Here is a 17,766-nt window from a genome sequence, read left to right as displayed (position 1 = left end):
CATCATGATGACATAAGAACTGAAATCATCACTTCTTCCCACTCCCAAGCCATCTCCTCCTGCTTTTCTTGTTCTGTAAATGGCAATACCATCTACCCAGTTAGCCCAGCCTGAATGCCAAGAGTCATCGCAGAGGATTCCCTTTTCTTCATCTCTCTCCCTGCCCCCATCCAGCTTTCCATTCATTAACCAAGACCTTCTAAGGATTTCTTGAATCCCTCCCACCCTGTCATTCCTACCTCATGGGGTTGCTTTGCCCTCAGTCTTTCTCTGCTGGATACCTGCAGTCCCATCCTAACTGGTCTCCCTGCAACCCATCTTGGGCCTTTCAAGCCATCCTTTGTCCTGCAGTCAGAGTGATCATTCAAAAAAGAGAAAATTATCATGCCAATATCCTATGAAAATCCTTCAGTGATTCCCCCAAACCTTCAGTTCCTTAGCATTGTGTACAATCCCTGCACAGTCTGGCCCCTGCTGGTCTGTCCAGCCTCATCTTTCAACACTCCTCCTCATGGAACCACTTGCAGTTCTGTGAGCATGCCACACTCTCCCTGCCCCATTCCACAGCCCTTGTACTTTCCCCTGGGAGAGCTCCACCCACATTTATTTGCCTCTCATTCCTCTTCGTCCTTTAGACTCAGCTCAGGTATTAATTATCTCCTCGGGGAAGCCTGTCCTAATCACCAGCTCCCAAGGCTGGTTAGCTGCTGCTCCTAAGTTCTCCTGGAGAAATGATCATGCTGTTTTCCATTCGTTTATTTACCTGCTCCTCTGCTAGGCAGTGAGGTCCTCTGGGACAGGGAACAAACAATATTTATCTTTGTATCCCCAGCACTTGGCACAATATATAGAAGGTAGTCGGTAGCTGGTTGGTGAAAGAATCAACAATGGTGTAGTTTTTGGGAAACAGCTGTGTCCCACCCTGAGAAGGCTGCATTTCACCCATCTTACAGTGCTGAAAGACTGAAGGGCAACATCATTCTCCCCAACTCCCTTAACCTTCAACCATCACCATCCCCAGAGAAGAACCTTCCCACACCCACCCTCCAGATACCATTTCTCCCTGCATGGAGAAGGTATTTCCTGCCCCCTAAACTTCATTGTCTCCCTAGAACTTCAAATTGTTCCCAGCCCTGGCTTCTCCCTTGAACTCCAGAGTCACAGATATAACTCCTTCATACTCACTCTTGGATGCCTTGTAGGTATGTTCAACTTAATATGACCAGCCCCAAATTCTTAGTTTTTTTCCTCAAACTTGCTCTTCCTGCAGTTTTCATCATCTCAAAAAAATGGCAGTGCTTTCCAACGCATTGCTCAGGCCAAAACCCTTTCAGTCATCTTTGCTTCCTTTCTTGTATTCCATATCTGAGCACATCATGCTACTCCACCATCAAAGTCTAGCCAGAATGCAACCACTCCTCCTCACCTCCATGGCTACCACCCTGGGCCAAGCCTCCATCACACAGCCTGACCATTGTCATTCTCCTAGCTGGTCTCCTGCTTCCACACAGATTATTCCCCACATAGCAGCCTGTGTCAACCAGCTCAGCTTTCTCTGGCTAGAGCTCTCCAATGGCTTCTCATTTTACCCAAACTGAAAGCCAGGGGCCTTTCAATGTCCTCCAAGATCTTGGGCGCTCTGCTTCCTGTTTCCTCTCTGACTTCCTCTCCTACTTCTGGTCCCCTTTCTCGTTCTGTCCCCAGCCACACTGGTTGCCTTGCTGTTTCTTAAGCATACTGGCTCTTTTCACTTGCTAGGTCCTCTGCCTAGAACATTCATTCCCCCAGATATCCATGTATTTCATTCCCTGACAACTCTAGGTCTCTGTTCACACACCCTTTTCAGGGAGGTCCTCTCTGACCTCTCTACTGAAAGAGTATCTCCCCGCTATCCCCTTCTATTCCCTCGCCCTTCTTTATACTATATTCTATACAGCATCTCTTTGCTTATTTATTTACTGGATGCTCCCCTCTTCCCTGCAGCCACCACCTTCCCCTCCAAGCATCATGTCCCTCCAGTGCTTGGCAGACAGCTTGGTTCCTGGCCACTCACCAGCCGGGAGTTGTAGACAGGTGGTTTGATGGGTGTGGCCACAGGGCAGTTGATTCGCTTCTCCTTTTGGCGTCGGTTGCAGAACCAGACCCTCACCACCTCCTTCTCCATGGACAACTGCTCTGCAATCATGGAGATCTCCTCCGAGCTGGGTTTTGGGTTCTATAGGCACCGAAAGGACAGAGTATGGCCAAGAGAAGGGAATCAGGGGCAGGGAACAGAGGTCCCAAAGAAACAGGATACAACTATACATGGATCAAAAGCTTTAGAGTCAGACCTAGGATGAAATACTGGCTTTTTCACTTACTACGTGTCCTTACAAAACTTTCTTAACCTTTCTGAGCCTGTCTTGTCATCTATGAAATGAGAATAATCATGCCCACCACATAGGATTATTGTGAGAATTAAATGAGAAAATGTGTGTAAACTGTCAAGCACAGGGCCTGATACAAAGTAGGGTCTCCATAGATGTAGGCTGTCTTTCCTTCATTCATGAGTTCAGAGGAGAGAAGTCCATGGATGAGTTATGTGGGGCAGGTAGAGTCCCCAGAGCTGCTGCTCCCTTCTGTGTTCTTCCTTATTACCTGATGTCCTTCTCCCTTGTCATTTCTTTTTTTTTTTTTTTTTTTTTTTTTTTTTTTTTTTTTTGAGACGGAGTCTCGCTCTGTTGCCTAGGCTGGAGTGCAGTGGCGCGATCTCCGCTCACTGCAACCTGCGCCTCCCGGGTTCAAGCAATTCTCTCTGCTTCAGCCTCCTGAGTAGCCGGGATTACAGGCATACATCACCACGCCCAGCTAATTTTTGTACTTTAAGTAGAGATGGGGTTTCACCATGTTGGGCAGGCTGGTCTTGAACTCCTGACCTCAGGTGATCCACCTGCCTCGGCCTCCCAAAGTGCTGGGATTACAGGCATGAGTCACCATGCCTGGCCTGCCTTGTCATTTCTTCCTGTCCTCCTGTCTCAAAGCAGAAAATGAGAAAGCTAAAACATGTGGACCCATCAGGACTGTGGCATAGCAATACATGCTACACGGGCGCCACTCCCTTGTTCTGATCCTTCACACCTGGTCTCTAGCCCCGGCCACTTTCCCCTACTCCTACACCCTCCCTTAACCTTGCCACTCTAGAAAGCCTAAAAAGAAGGAAAAGCCAGTTCCTGTCATTCTGCTAGCTGGATATGGGCACCAAATCTTTGAGCTAAATGTGCGAGGAATCTGCTGGAGGGGCAGCAGTCCTGGAGGCCTGGGGCCTTTGGAGACGCGTGGTACCCATGGCGGCTCTGGAGGCTGGGATCTGAGGGAGCCTGGCTAGAGGCTGGCTAGGCCACATCTGTTTCTCCCTCTTCTCTTCCCCAGCCCACACGGGGCTCACAGCTTCCACATACTGGCTCAAAAACATGCTTTTGCTACAAGTTCCAAAAAACGTAGGTGTATAACACGATCACAAGTATCTAAATGTGCATAGAAAAGAAGGAGTAGAAGGAAATGAGGTCAGATGGCATTTGGCGATGGGCGTTTTTTTTCTTTCTACTTCCCTGCACTTAAATTGTTTACAATAAGCATTTATTACATTTATAATTTGAAAAATACAAAATGTACTGCATAGAAAATAGAGAACTTACATACAATCCCCTGACTTTGCTCCCTTTACCTCAACTGGATACGGAGATACACTGTGTTCTGGGACCCTATAGCCCATTCTTTAAATCTCCCAGTGAGAAAAACAAAGGGCCCTAAATAGATGTCAGGGCAAGAAGGGTCAGTGGAGGAGGAGGAGGTTCCTGGAACCTGAGATGGAGGGCAGCTTTGCACTCCAATACCTGGGCGCCTGGAGTGGGATAATGTGTTTTCTGATCGTGTCCCAGAGCAGGTGTGAGGTGCGGAGGGGCTGGTGCCAAGGGGCCTGGGCCGTGTCTGCTCTCCCTACCTGTGTGAGGTAGCCCACCCGTGCCCACCCGAAGGTGCTGCTCACATCTTGAAACCTCTTCTCCAGAGTCAGGCGGATGTTGGTCTCGATGCTGGTCCGTTTCTTTCTCTTCCTACCAAATACTTCACTGAGGCTGGGGTAGGAGCTGGGCGTGCTCACTGAGGGGTCTGACGGAGAGGACTCTGCAGGGACACGAAGGACCAGAGGAAGCTCAGAGAAGGGGATGAGTGGCCGGTGCCTTCATGGATCTGAGGTCCAACAACCCTTCCCGATGGGCTCTGCAGTGGCATTTTCAGGAGCAATCCCCTCCCCCAGCAGGGAGCCCAGAACAGACCAAGAATCCTATTTCTTTTCATTGCTCAGGGCAAAGGCCCTCCGTGGCCCTCCATTGTCCTCCATGGCCTTCTGTGGCCCTCCGTGACCCTCCATGGCCCTCTGTGGCCCCCACAGCAGTGTCTCCAGTGTTTGGGGTCACAGCTGAGGGATGCTCATGCATCGGTGACACATGTGGGTGTAAGGGGGCACTGGCAGGGCTCCTGTGAGTAATGCTCGTGAGGCTGCTGTTTACAGATATGCCTGGATGTGAATACTGAGTGAAATGTGAAATGAGATTTGCAGCCAAAAGCAATGGCACTTGGTGACAGACTGTTGGTGTTGGAGTCATTTTCCTGCCAGTGCAAATGTTTGAGCTAAGGCTGTAGGGGCCATAGGAGGGATATCCCTGAGGAAGGATTCAGGCATCTGATGGAGACTAGGAATGGTCACAGGGCCCTTCCCCAGAGATTCGAAGACCTTCGGATCATTTCGCTCATTTCAGTGCTTCCATAAAGGCTGTCTAAGGGACAGCCTGTAGGGGGAGCTTCCTGCCCCCTCCCATGCTTGCGTGTGGAGGCCCTTCCGTATGAGTAACAGCCCTGGCTGGCTGCCCCACCCTTTTCTCCCTCTCCAGTGTAACCACGAATCCATATGAATCGACTGAATAGAGCCCAGCCCTGGAGACTGGCTCACTCCCTCTCTCTGCCTAGGCCGGCAGTTCTCAACCGGGGGGGACTCTGCATCACCACCACTCCCCCTGGGACATTTGGCAATGTCTGGAGAGATTCTTGGCTGTTTCAACTGGGGGTGGATGCTACTGGCAACTAGTAGGTAGGGACCAGGGATGCTCAAAACATCCTGCAATGCATAGGCCAGTCCCTGGTAACAAGAATGACCTGGCCCAGGATGTCTATAGTGCCAAGGTTGAGAAGCCCCATCCTGTATGCTAGTCCCTGCTGCCAAATGTGAGGTCCCTTGGCTTACACGCTTGATCTCCTGGGTTGCCTCCCGGCCACCACCCCTCACTGAGTCCTCCTGCAAACCCCATTCCTGCTGTCAGGCTTTCCTGACCAGCATGGGTTGCAGTAAGTCCCTGTCTGCTGAAAACCTCCTCAAGAACTACCCAGGGAAAGACCCTGTGTCGTGCCTGTGGTCTCCCCCTCCCAGTGAGACCCTAGAGGCCCCACTGCCCTGTATCCCTGACTAGACTTATTCCAGACAGCAATCTGCATAAGTGTATCTGCTCTGCAGATCCAGACTTTGTTGCTGGCAAGCTGTCCTAAGATCTATGCTGGGTGGGATGGGGTAGGAATGGAATGGGGACAAATCCTGATGGACACAGACCTAAATCCACATCCTTCTGAGGGCTTCTCAGTAGTCGAGCTGACACTTTCATCTACACTTGCCTGTGTCCTGTGTCTTGTTTCTCCATCGGCTCCAGTCTCAGGAGAAGAAGGGGGTGTTAGGTATCAAACTCCCAAAAGCCCCAACACGACAAGTCACTGGCCCTTCCCTGCAGAGCCCTCTAGGGCCCCTGGCATCCGTGTTTGCGAGGCCTACCTGCATCATTCAGCCACTTCTCCAGCAGGGGCTTGAGCTTGCACATGTTCTTGAAGCTCAGGTTGAGGGCCTCAAATCGTGAGATGGTGGTCTGGCTGAAGTCGTTGCCATACAGCTTTCCCATCGCCAGCCCCACATCTCCCTAAGCGTGGGGACCGAGGGGGAGGAACATGAGAGGCAGCCTCCTCCTCTTGTTTGCCCACATCCTGCATGGTCCTAGCATCGATCACACAGCCAGCCTGAATCTTTGAGTGCTCACCCATGCTCGGCTCCTTTCCAAGTCTCCTCCCTCTAAGGTGAAGAATCGGTTTCTTTCTCTCCTTAGACTCTCAGTGGACCACGCCCACGTGCTCAGGAGAGCCAGCCCCTTTTCCACCTCTCATTCTCCTCCACCAGCAACGTCCTCAGTTTCCCTACCAATGGCAACTGTGCCCTATTCTCAGAGAACTCAGGGACATGATGAGGAGACCCCAAACACATCGAGCCTCTGGTCGCTCTTGAAACCTGCACTTGGGAAGCCCAGTCTCCAGCCGCTCGGCTAGACTTCTTCTATCTTTTCCCCTAAAACCAAACCTGTGTGAAGCCCAGCTTAATGCGCCTCTGCTTGAAGGTCTTGGCAAACTTCTCCAGCTCCTCGAGGTCACTGGGCTCATCGGCCCCTCCAGAGCTGGGTAGATGCTTGGGCACTGGGAGATGCTGGGATGCTTCCAGGTGGGGTTCTAAAGAGGATCCTGGCAGCCCAGGGTGCCCAAATGCCTGATAGGAAACACGCCAAGCAGATCCACCACGAAGATCAATAAATAACATTTTCTGATTTTTTTTTTTTTTTTTTTTTTTTTTTTTACTAATAGGCCCACTTAGAGGATGACAGATCCCTGGATACACCCTGGGTACATTGGAGTCTTATATTTTTCCAGTGGCATGGAAGTGGAAATTAAAGTTTCTATAAATGTATAGCAAATAACTGGAATATCTGGGTAGAAACATCAGGAGTGCAGGATAGGGAGGTGGCCTGAGTTTAGCCTGTGACTCACTTTTTGAGTCTTAGCAGGTTACTTCCTCCTTTCAGTTTTCTACCATAAAAGGAGCTAGCAGGGTTGTTTACAAAGATTCCAAAAACAAATCACAGAACTGGACAAAGAAAAGGTTGCTTGCTTTGTTTTTTTGTTTTTTGTTTTTTTCCATAAAGCAGGTAACTGAGGTGTTGAACAGGCATTAACTGAAGATAACAGGGGACATCCAATAACTCATGGCCTTCATAGAACTTTCCTAAAATGTCAAACTCTTGTGCCTCATTTTACTTTCTAAACCACCATTTTCTTTCATGAAAGTGTTTTGTTTTTAATCAAAGGTATTTTAATCAGTACCTTTATAAAATGCACCTTGATCACATTTGGGTTGCTAGGAGATATTCTTTCTTTCTCTCTTTTTCTTCTTCTTCTTCTTTTTTTTTTTGAATCAGGATCTCACTCTGTCACCCAGGCTAGAGTGTAGTGGCACAATCACTGCTCACTGCAGCGTCAACCTCCTGGGCTTAAGTCATTCTCCTGCCTCAGGCTCCTGAACAGCTGGGGCTACAGGCGTGTGCCACCACACCTGGCTAACTTTTGTTTTTTTAGAGACAGGGCTTCACCATGTTGCCCAAGCTGGTCTCAAACTCCTGGGCTCAAGTGATCTACCTGCTTTGGCCTCCCAAAGTGCTGGGACTACAAGTATGAGCCACCGTGCCCAGCCAAATATTATTTCTTGAGCTTATTTTCATAGGAAAACGTACCCTTAAACCTAGAACCATGCTGTGCCTATTTGGGGTCAGGAATGAATCCGATCTTAAGGACATCTATCATTCCACAAGGATAGAGTGGAATCTGGGCCTAGGGGTCCAGGCACTGTGGCCAGCTAGCTCAAAGGGCTAAATCCACCTCTTCTCTCCTTTTTGATTTACTTTTTGTAGACTAAACATTACTTCTTCTCCTCTGGGATATTTGGGTTTACCATTCAGATAGGTATCCTTATGATGAAGAAGGTAAAAGGACCTCTAGAGAGAAGTTTAGGAGTCTTTCCCCCAGTGAAGGGTCTTTTAGTCTGAAACCATCATGAATTTGGTCTTAGTTTGCAGGGAGAGGGTGTGTGAGGAGAGTGTGGCATAGACCAGACCCTCAGGACAAAGCCCCAGTCCTCTTTGAACCTTCCTTTTCATTAAATCATTTGTTCTTTCATTTGACAAAGACTTATGGGGCTCTCTGCTAGACCTTCTCCCTCCTCCTTTCATCTCCAATCCACTGGCAAACTGCACTGATTCAACTTCCCAAAGCATCTCCTCAATCATCCCCTCTTCTTATTGCCACAACTCTAAGCCAATCCTTTATGACCCCTCCCCTGGATGATCTTCATAATCTTCTATGTGGTCTCTCTGCTACCAGTCTCTCCATGCCAAAATATGATAAGAGATGAGAGTTGATCTTGAAGATTCTAAGATCTCTTCCAGCTGTAAGCCCATGGCTATGAGATTCTGGAGAGGGCAGCCAGGAGGAGGCGGAAGAGCAGCTTATGATGCTGGTGTCCCCATTTCAACCACTAGATGGCGAGCTTCCCCTCCAGGTACTTTTAGTGGCCTCAGCCCTCTCTGAAGGCCGGGCTCTTGGTGAGCCATGGGGATCTTAGCACAGAGATCTCTGCAGTCATTCCCAACCATTCTGCCCAACCATCTGTGCAGAGCCATCTCATGCAGCTGTGCAGGTTATTAACTGTACAGGGGCACCCAGATCAGGGGAGGAATGGCAGCTAAGATACAGCTCATGCTGCTGTCGCCAATCTGTCCACCTTGGCATGAGACTGCACCTGGCCAGAAGAGGTGCCTTTTTCCTAGTTGGAAAAAAGGTGCTGTGTGGAACCATGGCAGCTCTGCAAACAACCCCTCTCCCAGACCTCAGCCCACTGGCCTATATACGTGCCCACTGCAGGAGGCAATCTGGAATAGTGGCCCAGAGGTGAAAGACACTGGCTTTGTGGTCTGGGACATCAGGTCTGTAGTATTCTAGTCTCCCTCTTGGGGCTTGAGAGCACCTAGGTAGGGTTCGTGGCCATCTTGGTATGCCTGAGAAGTGAGCTGAGCCTGGCTCTCAGAGGAGCAATGCTGGGGCCTGTGCAGGGTTGGAGTTCAGTGCCTGGAGCATGAAGGAGGCTGGCCTGGGAGCTGGAATCTCTGGATTCTAACTGTGGCCCCACCAGTGACACTTGGTAAATTGTCCCCCCACTTGCTGTAGCTTGGATTTCCCCTGTGCCAATGGATAGTTCCCTGCTATCCCCTCTCCCCAGAGGGGTTAGTGCCCTGTTAAAGGGGTAGGGGGAAACCAGTGAGTTAAACTCAGTGAGAGCTGAGACATTCCTAGAGGAAACAGGAAGAATGGGGTTGTTTACCTGGGATGCCAGTCCCGGCCCAGTCTGTGGGAGGAGGAGACCGCTTTGTTGCTGTGGAAAGGGGAGGAGATTTGGCTGCAGACCTGGGTGAAAGGGGAGGGACAAAGGAACAGACAAATAAAATCCAGGCTATTTGAAACACATGTGCTACAACTTTGGCACCACGATCACTGTCCCCACCCCCTGCCACCTGATCAGGTCCCTCCACCCACCTCAAGTCCCATGGAGAGGCCCTCCTAGCACTGCCAGGCATTGCCACATACAGGTGGAGGCAAATCAGATACAGGGATAAACAGACATGTAAACAGCAGTCCCCAAACCAGTCCTTCCACCTGCCCGCCTGTCTGGAGAGGCGTAGAGGCTAAGGAGGGTCAAGACGATCTACTCTGGGATCTGATTACCAGAGCTGAAGAAAACCAAGAAGGGAAAGGATGCAGGGTGGCTGCTGAGAATTCAAGCTAGGGCTGAGGATTTTGGCTTTCCCTGCAGGAGAAGTAGCTGGGTTATGGCTACAGAGGCCCAATCAAATCTGCGAGGATGCCAGACCAAGCAGATACGACCATACGGCTCTAAAGGGCAGTGGGCCTTAGCCAGAGGCATGTGGCTGACCAGGACATTTTATACTTGGGAGAGAGGGCTGAGAGAGGAGGGAAAGTCCAGGGCTGAGCCTCTGGAAACTCCCTTGGGCAGTATGTATTATACCGGCTTCTCCATCCTCCCCAGGAAAACGGTACATGAGGGACTCTGCCTGGTTGGTGGCTCACTCTCCCAGCAGGAGTGGGGCCATCAAACCACCAAAGCAGACAATGGGGTTGGTCATCCCAATCGCTTGTCACTCAACAGCACTTTGGGGTCTCTGTTTTCCCTAGGCTGTTCTGGGTCACAATGTACATACAGCATCTGCTGATGTTGACCTTTATGCTCTTCAGTTTCAAAAAGTCAGGGCTTCATTGTTCATTATTAAAATACATAGGCAAGAAAGCTCTTACAAGGAATCCAGAACTGGGAGTTGAGAGGCTTGGGTACTAATGGCAATTCTGACATGGCGGTTGAAATGGATACAGCCTTTTCACATGCATTATTTCAAGTGACTCTCAATAATCTCATGAGGCAGAGCCTTGCTATTATCCCATTTTTTCAGAAGAGGAAATGGAAGCTCAGAGAGGTTAGGTAACTTTCCCCAAAACACACAGTTAGTAAGTGACTTTTTAAAGAAACCAGTAAATTTTTCTGACTCCAAATTTGGAAGTGTCTTTCCACCACTGCATCATACACTGACCTAGGTGGTTATAAGCCTGGGCCATTTTCATGTCGCTCTCCAGTCTTCTGAAAACAAATTAAACTGTTACCTTCCCTTTTCCATTCCAGGAGTATGATGTTTATTTTTTAACCAAAATAAACACTTAAAAATTCAAATAGGGTCTCATTCATCACCATAATATTCTGAGGTGCCTTGGAAACTAAGGATAGTGACTGTCATTTGTGCAGGTGCTAAGGGCGGAAGGCAGAGTTGCATTTTGTTTGGATTCTGGATTTCCAAAACCTCTACTTGGGATTTGTGCAACAGGAGAGAGTTTATACTTCCTCCATTATTTTTTTTTTTCAGAGACAGAGTTTTGCTCTGTCGCCCAGGCTGGAGGACAGTGGTGCAATCTTGGCTCACTGCAACCTCTGCCTCCCAGGTTCCGGTGATTTTCTTGCCTCAACCTCCTGAGTAGCTGGGATTACAGGCATGCACCACCACACCCGGCAAATTTTTGTATTTTTAGTGGAGACAGAGTTTTACCATGTTGGCCAGGCTGGTCTCGAACTTCTGGCCTCAAGTGATCCGTCCACCTCGGCCTCCCAAAGTGCTGGGATTACAGGCGTGAGCCACCGAGCCTGGCCAACCCTCCATCACTTTTGACCCTAGCTGATGGAGATGGGAGTGGGACAGGCAGCACACTGTGATGACCAAGAGTATGGGTCTCAGCTAAACGGTTCTGGAACTTCCCAGTAGGTCACCAGAGGCATAATAGAACTACCTACTTTACAAGGTTATTTTGAGGAATGTCAGAAAAATTACTCAGAAGAGCTCCTGGCACATCATGCTCAAGAAATGTTAGCTATTTATTAATAGTTCAATCTATTTGCTCTTGGCCAGGGAGAAGTTCTCTGCGAGTAACTTCCCTGCCAAAGAAAACCTGAACACCCTTTCTACAACCTGTGGGTGGCACTGCTGCTCTCTCCAAATAGAATCACAGCCAGGCTTCCAGGAAGCAAGTCTGAATCTGTGTCCAGGAGAGATTTCCAAGGAATTGGGACTTGTCTGTACTGCATTTCCCAGGGCGCTTCCCCTCCCTTGTACAGCATAGCTCTGCTCCACGCCTGCACCTTCCGTCTCCACTCACCACGAAATTGAGGAGGTGGACCAGACCACCCAACAGGAGGCTGGGAAGGGGAAGCAGAGAAGGAGACTAAGCCTGGAGGAGCATTGCCAGGGTCCCTTCCTCAGACCCTGGGGTGGATAAGTAGGTCTTAATAGCAGATGGGTGACTGACTGACGCATGCTCTCCAATTAGGCCCCCTCACCCAGCAAAAAACAGCAGCAACAGCAGCACTTGACTGGACTTGGTCTAGGTGGAAACCCCCAGGGTTCTTACCTTGCTGCCCAGGCTGGGTCTGAGATAGCAGGAACTGGGATACAGACTGTAAGTGGCCGGGAACCAGCACAAGCTGCTGGAGCGGATGGAGGGAAGCCATGTCCTACACACGGAGAGATACACATACACCACAGAATTTACAAGCTGGGGACATCAGCCCCATCTGCCTGCCACTCGTCCGTCCCAGGGGTCTCCAGACTCAGAGACTTTGCAGGCTGACCTTGGTTTATGCCACTGTGTATCCCCAGTGTCTAGCAAATAGTAGCTACTCCGTTAACACTGGTATTGTTACAGCTTCTGCCCTCAGCCTAGGAGTCCTTACTACATATTGTTACTTAACCCTTGCCTCCTGAGTTAATTTTTGTATGTGTCAGTCCTGTCTCCCAACTAGACTATAAAATGCCCTGAAGGCAAAGCCTGGGTATGACCCATCTCTCAAAGTTTATCCTAGAGATAACATGCAATCCCCAACTATCCAATTCTTTTTAAATCTCATGCCACCTGGTTATGCTAAAAGCCATGCCTCGGCTGTTTCCTGGGCCAGAATCTTTCCTGGAGGGTGTTGGGGTGGGAGTTGGGGGGTGGAGCAAACTATTCATTCTTAATAAAACCAATTTAGTTAAACAAAAAGTCCAGGATTTCTCCTACCAGCCCAGGACATAGGACTAATAATTCCGATGCTTGGGGGATCGGGGAGTCCTCTGCAATGGAGACGCCAGAGCTCTGTGCCCCATGAGGTTGAGCTTAGGTTTGTGCACATAGAGAAGACCTGAGAAGCCCTGCTAAATGGCAGGTGAAGGGACAGATGCATATTCTTATGTGTTTCCAGAAAGGGGTGGCTCTTTCTCCCCCAGGTGATCCCTGCTGAGAAGAGGTCTCGTCATGTGAACGCCCTCCCGGACCTTGGCTGTTACTATCTCAGACGCCTCTTTCTTCCCCCACCAGCACTCCATTCTAGTTTGGCTCTAACAAAAAACCTTAGGGGAGGCAGAGTGGGCCCAATGGGGACAGAAACATTCTCTAACTGCAGCAGCAGCTGTCAACCTAGGATTCCCCTGAATGTGGCTGGCAGACACCAGCAGCTCAGCTGTTAGGTCCTTGGCTTTGGCAAGCCTGGGTCCTTTTTGTCTCTGAGAAGTAGAGGCCTCCCTCTTCACCTCCCTAGCTAGGCTTCACCTGTAAGAGGACTGTTTTAGAACCCTACTCACAGCCTCCAGATCTCTTTCCCACATTGCCTGCAGGGGGTTCTTTAGACGAGTACCAAGCATGGAAGTCGAGCATTTCACAGAGGGATTGGGTTAAACACACTGGCCCACTGTGAAAATCACAGTGTTACCTGACATGGGCTGGCATTTAGCCCAGACATTTGGTTTCCGGACATCATGGCAGGTCCTTGACTCAGGTGGCATGGCCGATGGGAGAGGGTCTGCTGCAGGGAGTCACTGAGATCTTCGGTTTTAATCTGCAAGTGGAAGCAAGAGGAGAGCGTCAGTGCTGGATCCCGTCAGGCAGTCAGAGATGGAAATGGCAGGAAGATCCAGGCAGGAAAGGAGTGACCAGCCTAGAGAGGAGAGAGCTAGCCCAGGGCCTACTGGGCTGCAGCTTACTTTTCCTGCCTGTGTGTGCCCTTCCAGCCAGGGCAGCTGGGCAGAGGCCTGTGTGAGTGACCCTGAAATGACAAAAACGATAGTGTAGTGAGTTTCAAAAGTAGGGCTCGATGTAGGAATTTGAGACCAGCCAGGGCAGCATAACAAGACTTCGTCTCTAAACCAAAAAAAAAAAAAAAAAAATAGCCAGGCATGGTGTTACATGCCTATAGTCCCAGCTACTTGGGAGGCTGAGATAGGAGGATCATTTGAGCCCAGGAGTTTGAGGCTGCAGTGAGCTATGATCACGCCACTGCACTCCAGCCTAGGTGACACAGTGAGACCCTGTCTCTTAAAAAAAAATGGATTAAATTCTTAGAAATTCTGAGATGATATTCTTTTTTTTCTTAGGAGGAAGAAGGTTAAAATTTATTTAGGACAGGATAGTGATCCTAAATGGCATTCTTAAAACTCTTTACCTCACAGAGTAAAAAACTGGCAACTCTTTACTGATCTCCCTCAAATTCTGTGTTTTATTTTCCTCAATGGAATCTCATCTATGAAACCCCAAAATCTGGGCACCACTGATCTGGAGGAGTCTCCCTCCCCATCTCATTTGTCTCCACACCTCTCCATCCTCTGTGTCTGCCTCTGCAGCTGGCCCTCTTCACCTGTGTGGCTTTAGTGACAGTCTTTGCCTGTCTCCCTACAGGTGAAGGCATGTCTCCCTCACAGCCAATGCTGTAGTTACAGCCTGAGGGGCCCGTGGTGGTTTCCAACCTCTCTCCAGTCTCCACCACCCTGCAATGACAGTACTAACCACCCATGCGTGGGCTTCCCAGGTGTCCCAGGGCAGGGCAGGAAGTGCTGCTTGTGCCTACCCCTCATCCCATCCCAGGAAAACTACCCTCTTGCAGCTTTTCAGGAAGTCCCTTGGGAGGGTGTCCATGTGACTTTAAATTCATATAATGTGATGGGGGCACGAGCTCTAGACCATACTTATAAGAGATATTGGGGAGACCCTCCTATGTGGACATCTGGTTGTTCCCTATCCAGATAGAAACTCTTAGCCATAGAGATGCTGGCTTAAACCATTTTCTTGGTCTACACTGCGAATATCACTGACATCCTGGGATATCTTCTGTTTGTGTTAGTTTAACCTAAGTTAAAAGTTCAGACTAACAGCTAAACTTGTGCTTAATTCTTGCGGAAAAAAATGGTGCTTTGGATCACTAAAGAAAGAATTCCTTATAAACAGCTCTATTATAAAGACATATGCACGGGTTATGTTCATCGCAACACTATTCATAGCAAAGACATGGAATCAACCTAAATGCCAGTCAATGATAGACTGGATAAAGAAAATGCGGTATATATACACCATGGAATACTATGCAGCCATAAAAAGGAATGAGATAATGTCCTGTATGGGAACATGGATGAAGATGGAGGCCATTGTCCTTAGCAAACTAATGCAGGAACAGAAAACCAGATACCACATGTTCTCACTTATAAGTGTGAGCTAAATCATGAGAATACATAGAGGGGAACAACACGCACTGGGGCCTGTTGGAGGGTAGAAGGTGAGAGGAGGGAGAGGATCAGGAAAAATAACTAATGGGTACTCAGTTTAATATGTGGGTGATGAAATAATCTGTACAACCAACTCCCATGATACAAGTTTACCTGTATAACAAACCTGGACATGTACCCCTGAACTTAAAATAAAAGTTAGATAAAATGAAAAAAGAATTATCTTTGGTTGGACAATTAGGAAGATCCTACTAACATTTGAGACTGAGGAGGGAGCTAATGTCCTAAATATGGTGCCTTTCACATAGTGAAAACCCAAAGAACATTAATTGAACAAAAGACATAAGCAAAACCCATTTCTCCACAGCCTCCAATGAGGTACAGGGAAGAAAATGTTGAAGATGTGCATTGAATGCTGATCTTGTTTCTAGCCCTAACTCCGACTCTAATTTACTACGTAATCTTGAGCCTCTATGGGACTCAGCCTCTATGGGACTCAATTTCCCCGTCTATTGTATGATAGTCCATGATTTTTCTCCCTGTCGACAAATGGAATTACAAATTCCAATTCCCTAGTGCATTTGGTAGACGTGGCCCATCCAGGTTGCTGCTGTGTTCTTAGACAAAGCAGATCTAAATAACACCAAGAAGCCCTGGTTGCACAGAAATTGGTAAGAAGATGGCTGTTTCAGGGACAGTCTTTGGAAATCATTCCTCTCACTTAAGGAGACTATTATGGAACTCTGGAAGCAAAGAGAAGGAAGCGGGAGAGATGGGAAATAGCACTGTGGGGGTAGAGAGTCAGACATTCAGAAAACTCAAAAAACATGGCTGCCTGGGAGTTGTCTCCAAGAGCCCCACTTCTTTGCTCCATGCCCCTTCAGCTGTGCCCATCCACACTTGGCATCTCTAAGAAACTCTGGTGTCCTAGTTCTTCTCCCCAAAATTAGAGTTTCCATATCCTTAGATTCCAGGAAAACATGTGTTAGCAAGTTTTTAAAAACTAGAAATAGATGATAAACTACTTATTTCAAAATGACCACCACCACTACAACTTTAAGGTTTGATCTGAGAGGGGATTTTACTTAAGCCAAGTCTTTGTGGTCCCCACCTCTTCCCTGCATAACCTCCTCCTGCCCCCAGGCATCTGCCATCCCAGAGGGTACTGGGGAGGCAGGATGGAGGAAGGGGGACAGAGGGAGAACGTGGAGCACTGGAGGTAAAATCATGCTGGTAGAACAGCCTCTGGCAGCTTGGCCCACTTCCATCTTGGAGGCAAGTGGCAGGGTTCCTCTGTAGACTCATTATGCACAAGGGAGAGATAAGGAGAGGCAGCTATGACAGAGCTTGAAAACATGTGCTTTGCCTCCAACCTGGGCGCTATCTGTTAGAATCTGTGCCAGGTCTTCCTGCAACACTTAATTTCAGAAACCAGCGCCATCATAAAAGAAAACGCACCCTTTCATCTGCTTCCTGGATCAATTGCCCTTCAGACTCTTTGGGGGGCACTCCCAACCTCCCAGTTGTAAAAATGAAGTGCGTGATAGCAGAAAAGCCCTTTGGGTGTAAGTTTGGGGGCTTTCTGACAACCCTCTGCATTATTTTTATGATTCGTTTGACCGACTTTTTACTCTTTTATAATTTTTATTTATTTATTTTTATCTTCTTTACGGTTCCTTTGGATATGGAATCTTTTATTTTTCATAATTCATTACCTTCTGGGTGTGAAGTGCTGATAGTAACCCCAAAAGAAGACAATCCTAACCAATCAAATTGAAAGATAATAAAGGACACTGCTTTCTTGAGGACAAGTTCTCAAATCTCAGCTTTGATCAGCGGTCTCTATTAGCTGAGTTCAACAGGAAGGAGGAAGGGTACATCGACAATTCCCATGGCCTCTGACAGACATCTTTGACACTCTCAGGGGTTCAGAAATGAAGAAATTAAGAAATAAAGCCTTCCTGAATTTACAAAAATCCCTTTTTACAGCTGTTAAGGGGAAAAGGTTGGAAGCTTTCCAGGCAACTGGGTGTTGGTTGTGGATCTGGAAGATGAGATAGAGAGACTTCTGTTGGATCCCATTGACTTCTAATGTGAGAACCGGAGGCAAATTGGACGAAAACCCAATCTCCCCCGTGCTTGTGAAAACCCAACCAAACCCACAGCCTGCCTGGAATCAAGAAGATCATCTCCAGGGTCTCTTTGGCAGTTCTTCTCATGCAGGTGGAGTGTTTCTCCAGACTTTACTTGGGACGGACGCATCCCTGGAGACGTGGGTCACCACAGGGTGCTCTGCCCTGCCACAGCCACTGAGCAGCCTGTCCAGCTATTGGACAAGCTTTGTTGGTTTAGGATCTTCTCCACCCACTGTGCTGTGCAAAGGTATTACACTGAGTCTTGGGCAGTGACCAGGAAGGTAAAAATGTATCAGGGATGATTATCTTTTCTGATCCCAGTGAACTCTCTGACATCACTTACTTCAGAAAGCAGTAGCCTCATTCTGGAAGGAGAGAGCCCCTTCCAAGGAGGTGGAAGCCCTTTCTGCATCCCTCCTTGGCTTTACCCTCATAGCCAGGAGGTGTGAGGACAAGTGTTCACCCTTCCATCTCACAGAGGCTCAGAGAGCTTCAGAGATGGTTATAAACTCATATAGCAATACCCCGGCAGAACTCTGACAAGAGAGTGGTCTCCTGACCCTCCTCTGGTGCTTTATCTACCAAAAAATATTACACAC

At 48.5% G+C, this 17,766-nt stretch overlaps 1 protein-coding gene across 9 annotated transcripts in view, besides 5 other annotated features; it reads right to left on the bottom strand.

Moving 5' to 3' along the window:
* The window catches only part of POU2F3 (POU class 2 homeobox 3), an 83,308-nt gene that overhangs the window by 8,306 nt on the left and 57,236 nt on the right, over positions 1-17,766 (bottom strand). For all 9 annotated transcript variants that reach the window (NM_001244682.2, XM_011542739.3, XM_011542742.4 and 6 more), the window contains 7 exons: positions 13,250-13,375; positions 11,914-12,016; positions 9,272-9,354; positions 6,428-6,610; positions 5,855-5,996; positions 4,025-4,161; positions 2,054-2,215 (listed from right to left, as the gene is read on the bottom strand). In NM_001244682.2, coding sequence (NP_001231611.1) covers positions 2,054-2,215; positions 4,025-4,161; positions 5,855-5,996; positions 6,428-6,610; positions 9,272-9,354; positions 11,914-12,016; positions 13,250-13,375 — 936 coding nt within the window. The remainder of the gene's footprint in view (positions 1-2,053; positions 2,216-4,024; positions 4,162-5,854; positions 5,997-6,427; positions 6,611-9,271; positions 9,355-11,913; positions 12,017-13,249; positions 13,376-17,766) is intronic.
* Positions 3,851-4,020: an enhancer, noted in NCBI's record as "experimental_19565 CRE fragment used in MPRA reporter constructs". NCBI's record gives its function as "activates a minimal promoter by MPRAs in K562 erythroleukemia cells, with activity observed for both the introgressed and non-introgressed 11:120178414 variant alleles {active_cell/tissue: K562}" and the evidence as "EXISTENCE:reporter gene assay evidence [ECO:0000049][PMID:34662402]".
* Positions 3,851-4,087: a biological region, named in NCBI's record as "Neanderthal introgressed variant-containing enhancers experimental_19560 and experimental_19565".
* Positions 3,918-4,087: an enhancer, noted in NCBI's record as "experimental_19560 CRE fragment used in MPRA reporter constructs". NCBI's record gives its function as "activates a minimal promoter by MPRAs in K562 erythroleukemia cells, with activity observed for both the introgressed and non-introgressed 11:120178347 variant alleles {active_cell/tissue: K562}" and the evidence as "EXISTENCE:reporter gene assay evidence [ECO:0000049][PMID:34662402]".
* Positions 4,360-4,862: an enhancer, noted in NCBI's record as "H3K4me1 hESC enhancer chr11:120177487-120177989 (GRCh37/hg19 assembly coordinates)". NCBI's record gives its function as "activates a minimal SCP1, AML or CMV promoter by ChIP-STARR-seq in naive H9 embryonic stem cells {active_cell/tissue: H9 hESC(naive)}" and the evidence as "EXISTENCE:reporter gene assay evidence [ECO:0000049][PMID:30033119]".
* Positions 5,427-5,944: an enhancer, noted in NCBI's record as "H3K4me1 hESC enhancer chr11:120176405-120176922 (GRCh37/hg19 assembly coordinates)". NCBI's record gives its function as "activates a minimal SCP1, AML or CMV promoter by ChIP-STARR-seq in primed H9 embryonic stem cells {active_cell/tissue: H9 hESC(primed)}" and the evidence as "EXISTENCE:reporter gene assay evidence [ECO:0000049][PMID:30033119]".

The sequence above is a fragment of the Homo sapiens genome, chromosome 11, assembly GCF_000001405.40.
Source record: "Homo sapiens chromosome 11, GRCh38.p14 Primary Assembly".
Classification (NCBI taxonomy): Eukaryota; Metazoa; Chordata; class Mammalia; order Primates; family Hominidae; genus Homo; species Homo sapiens.
The sequence above is the reverse complement of the archived record's forward strand: the minus strand, read 5'-3'. Positions and strand labels throughout refer to the sequence as shown.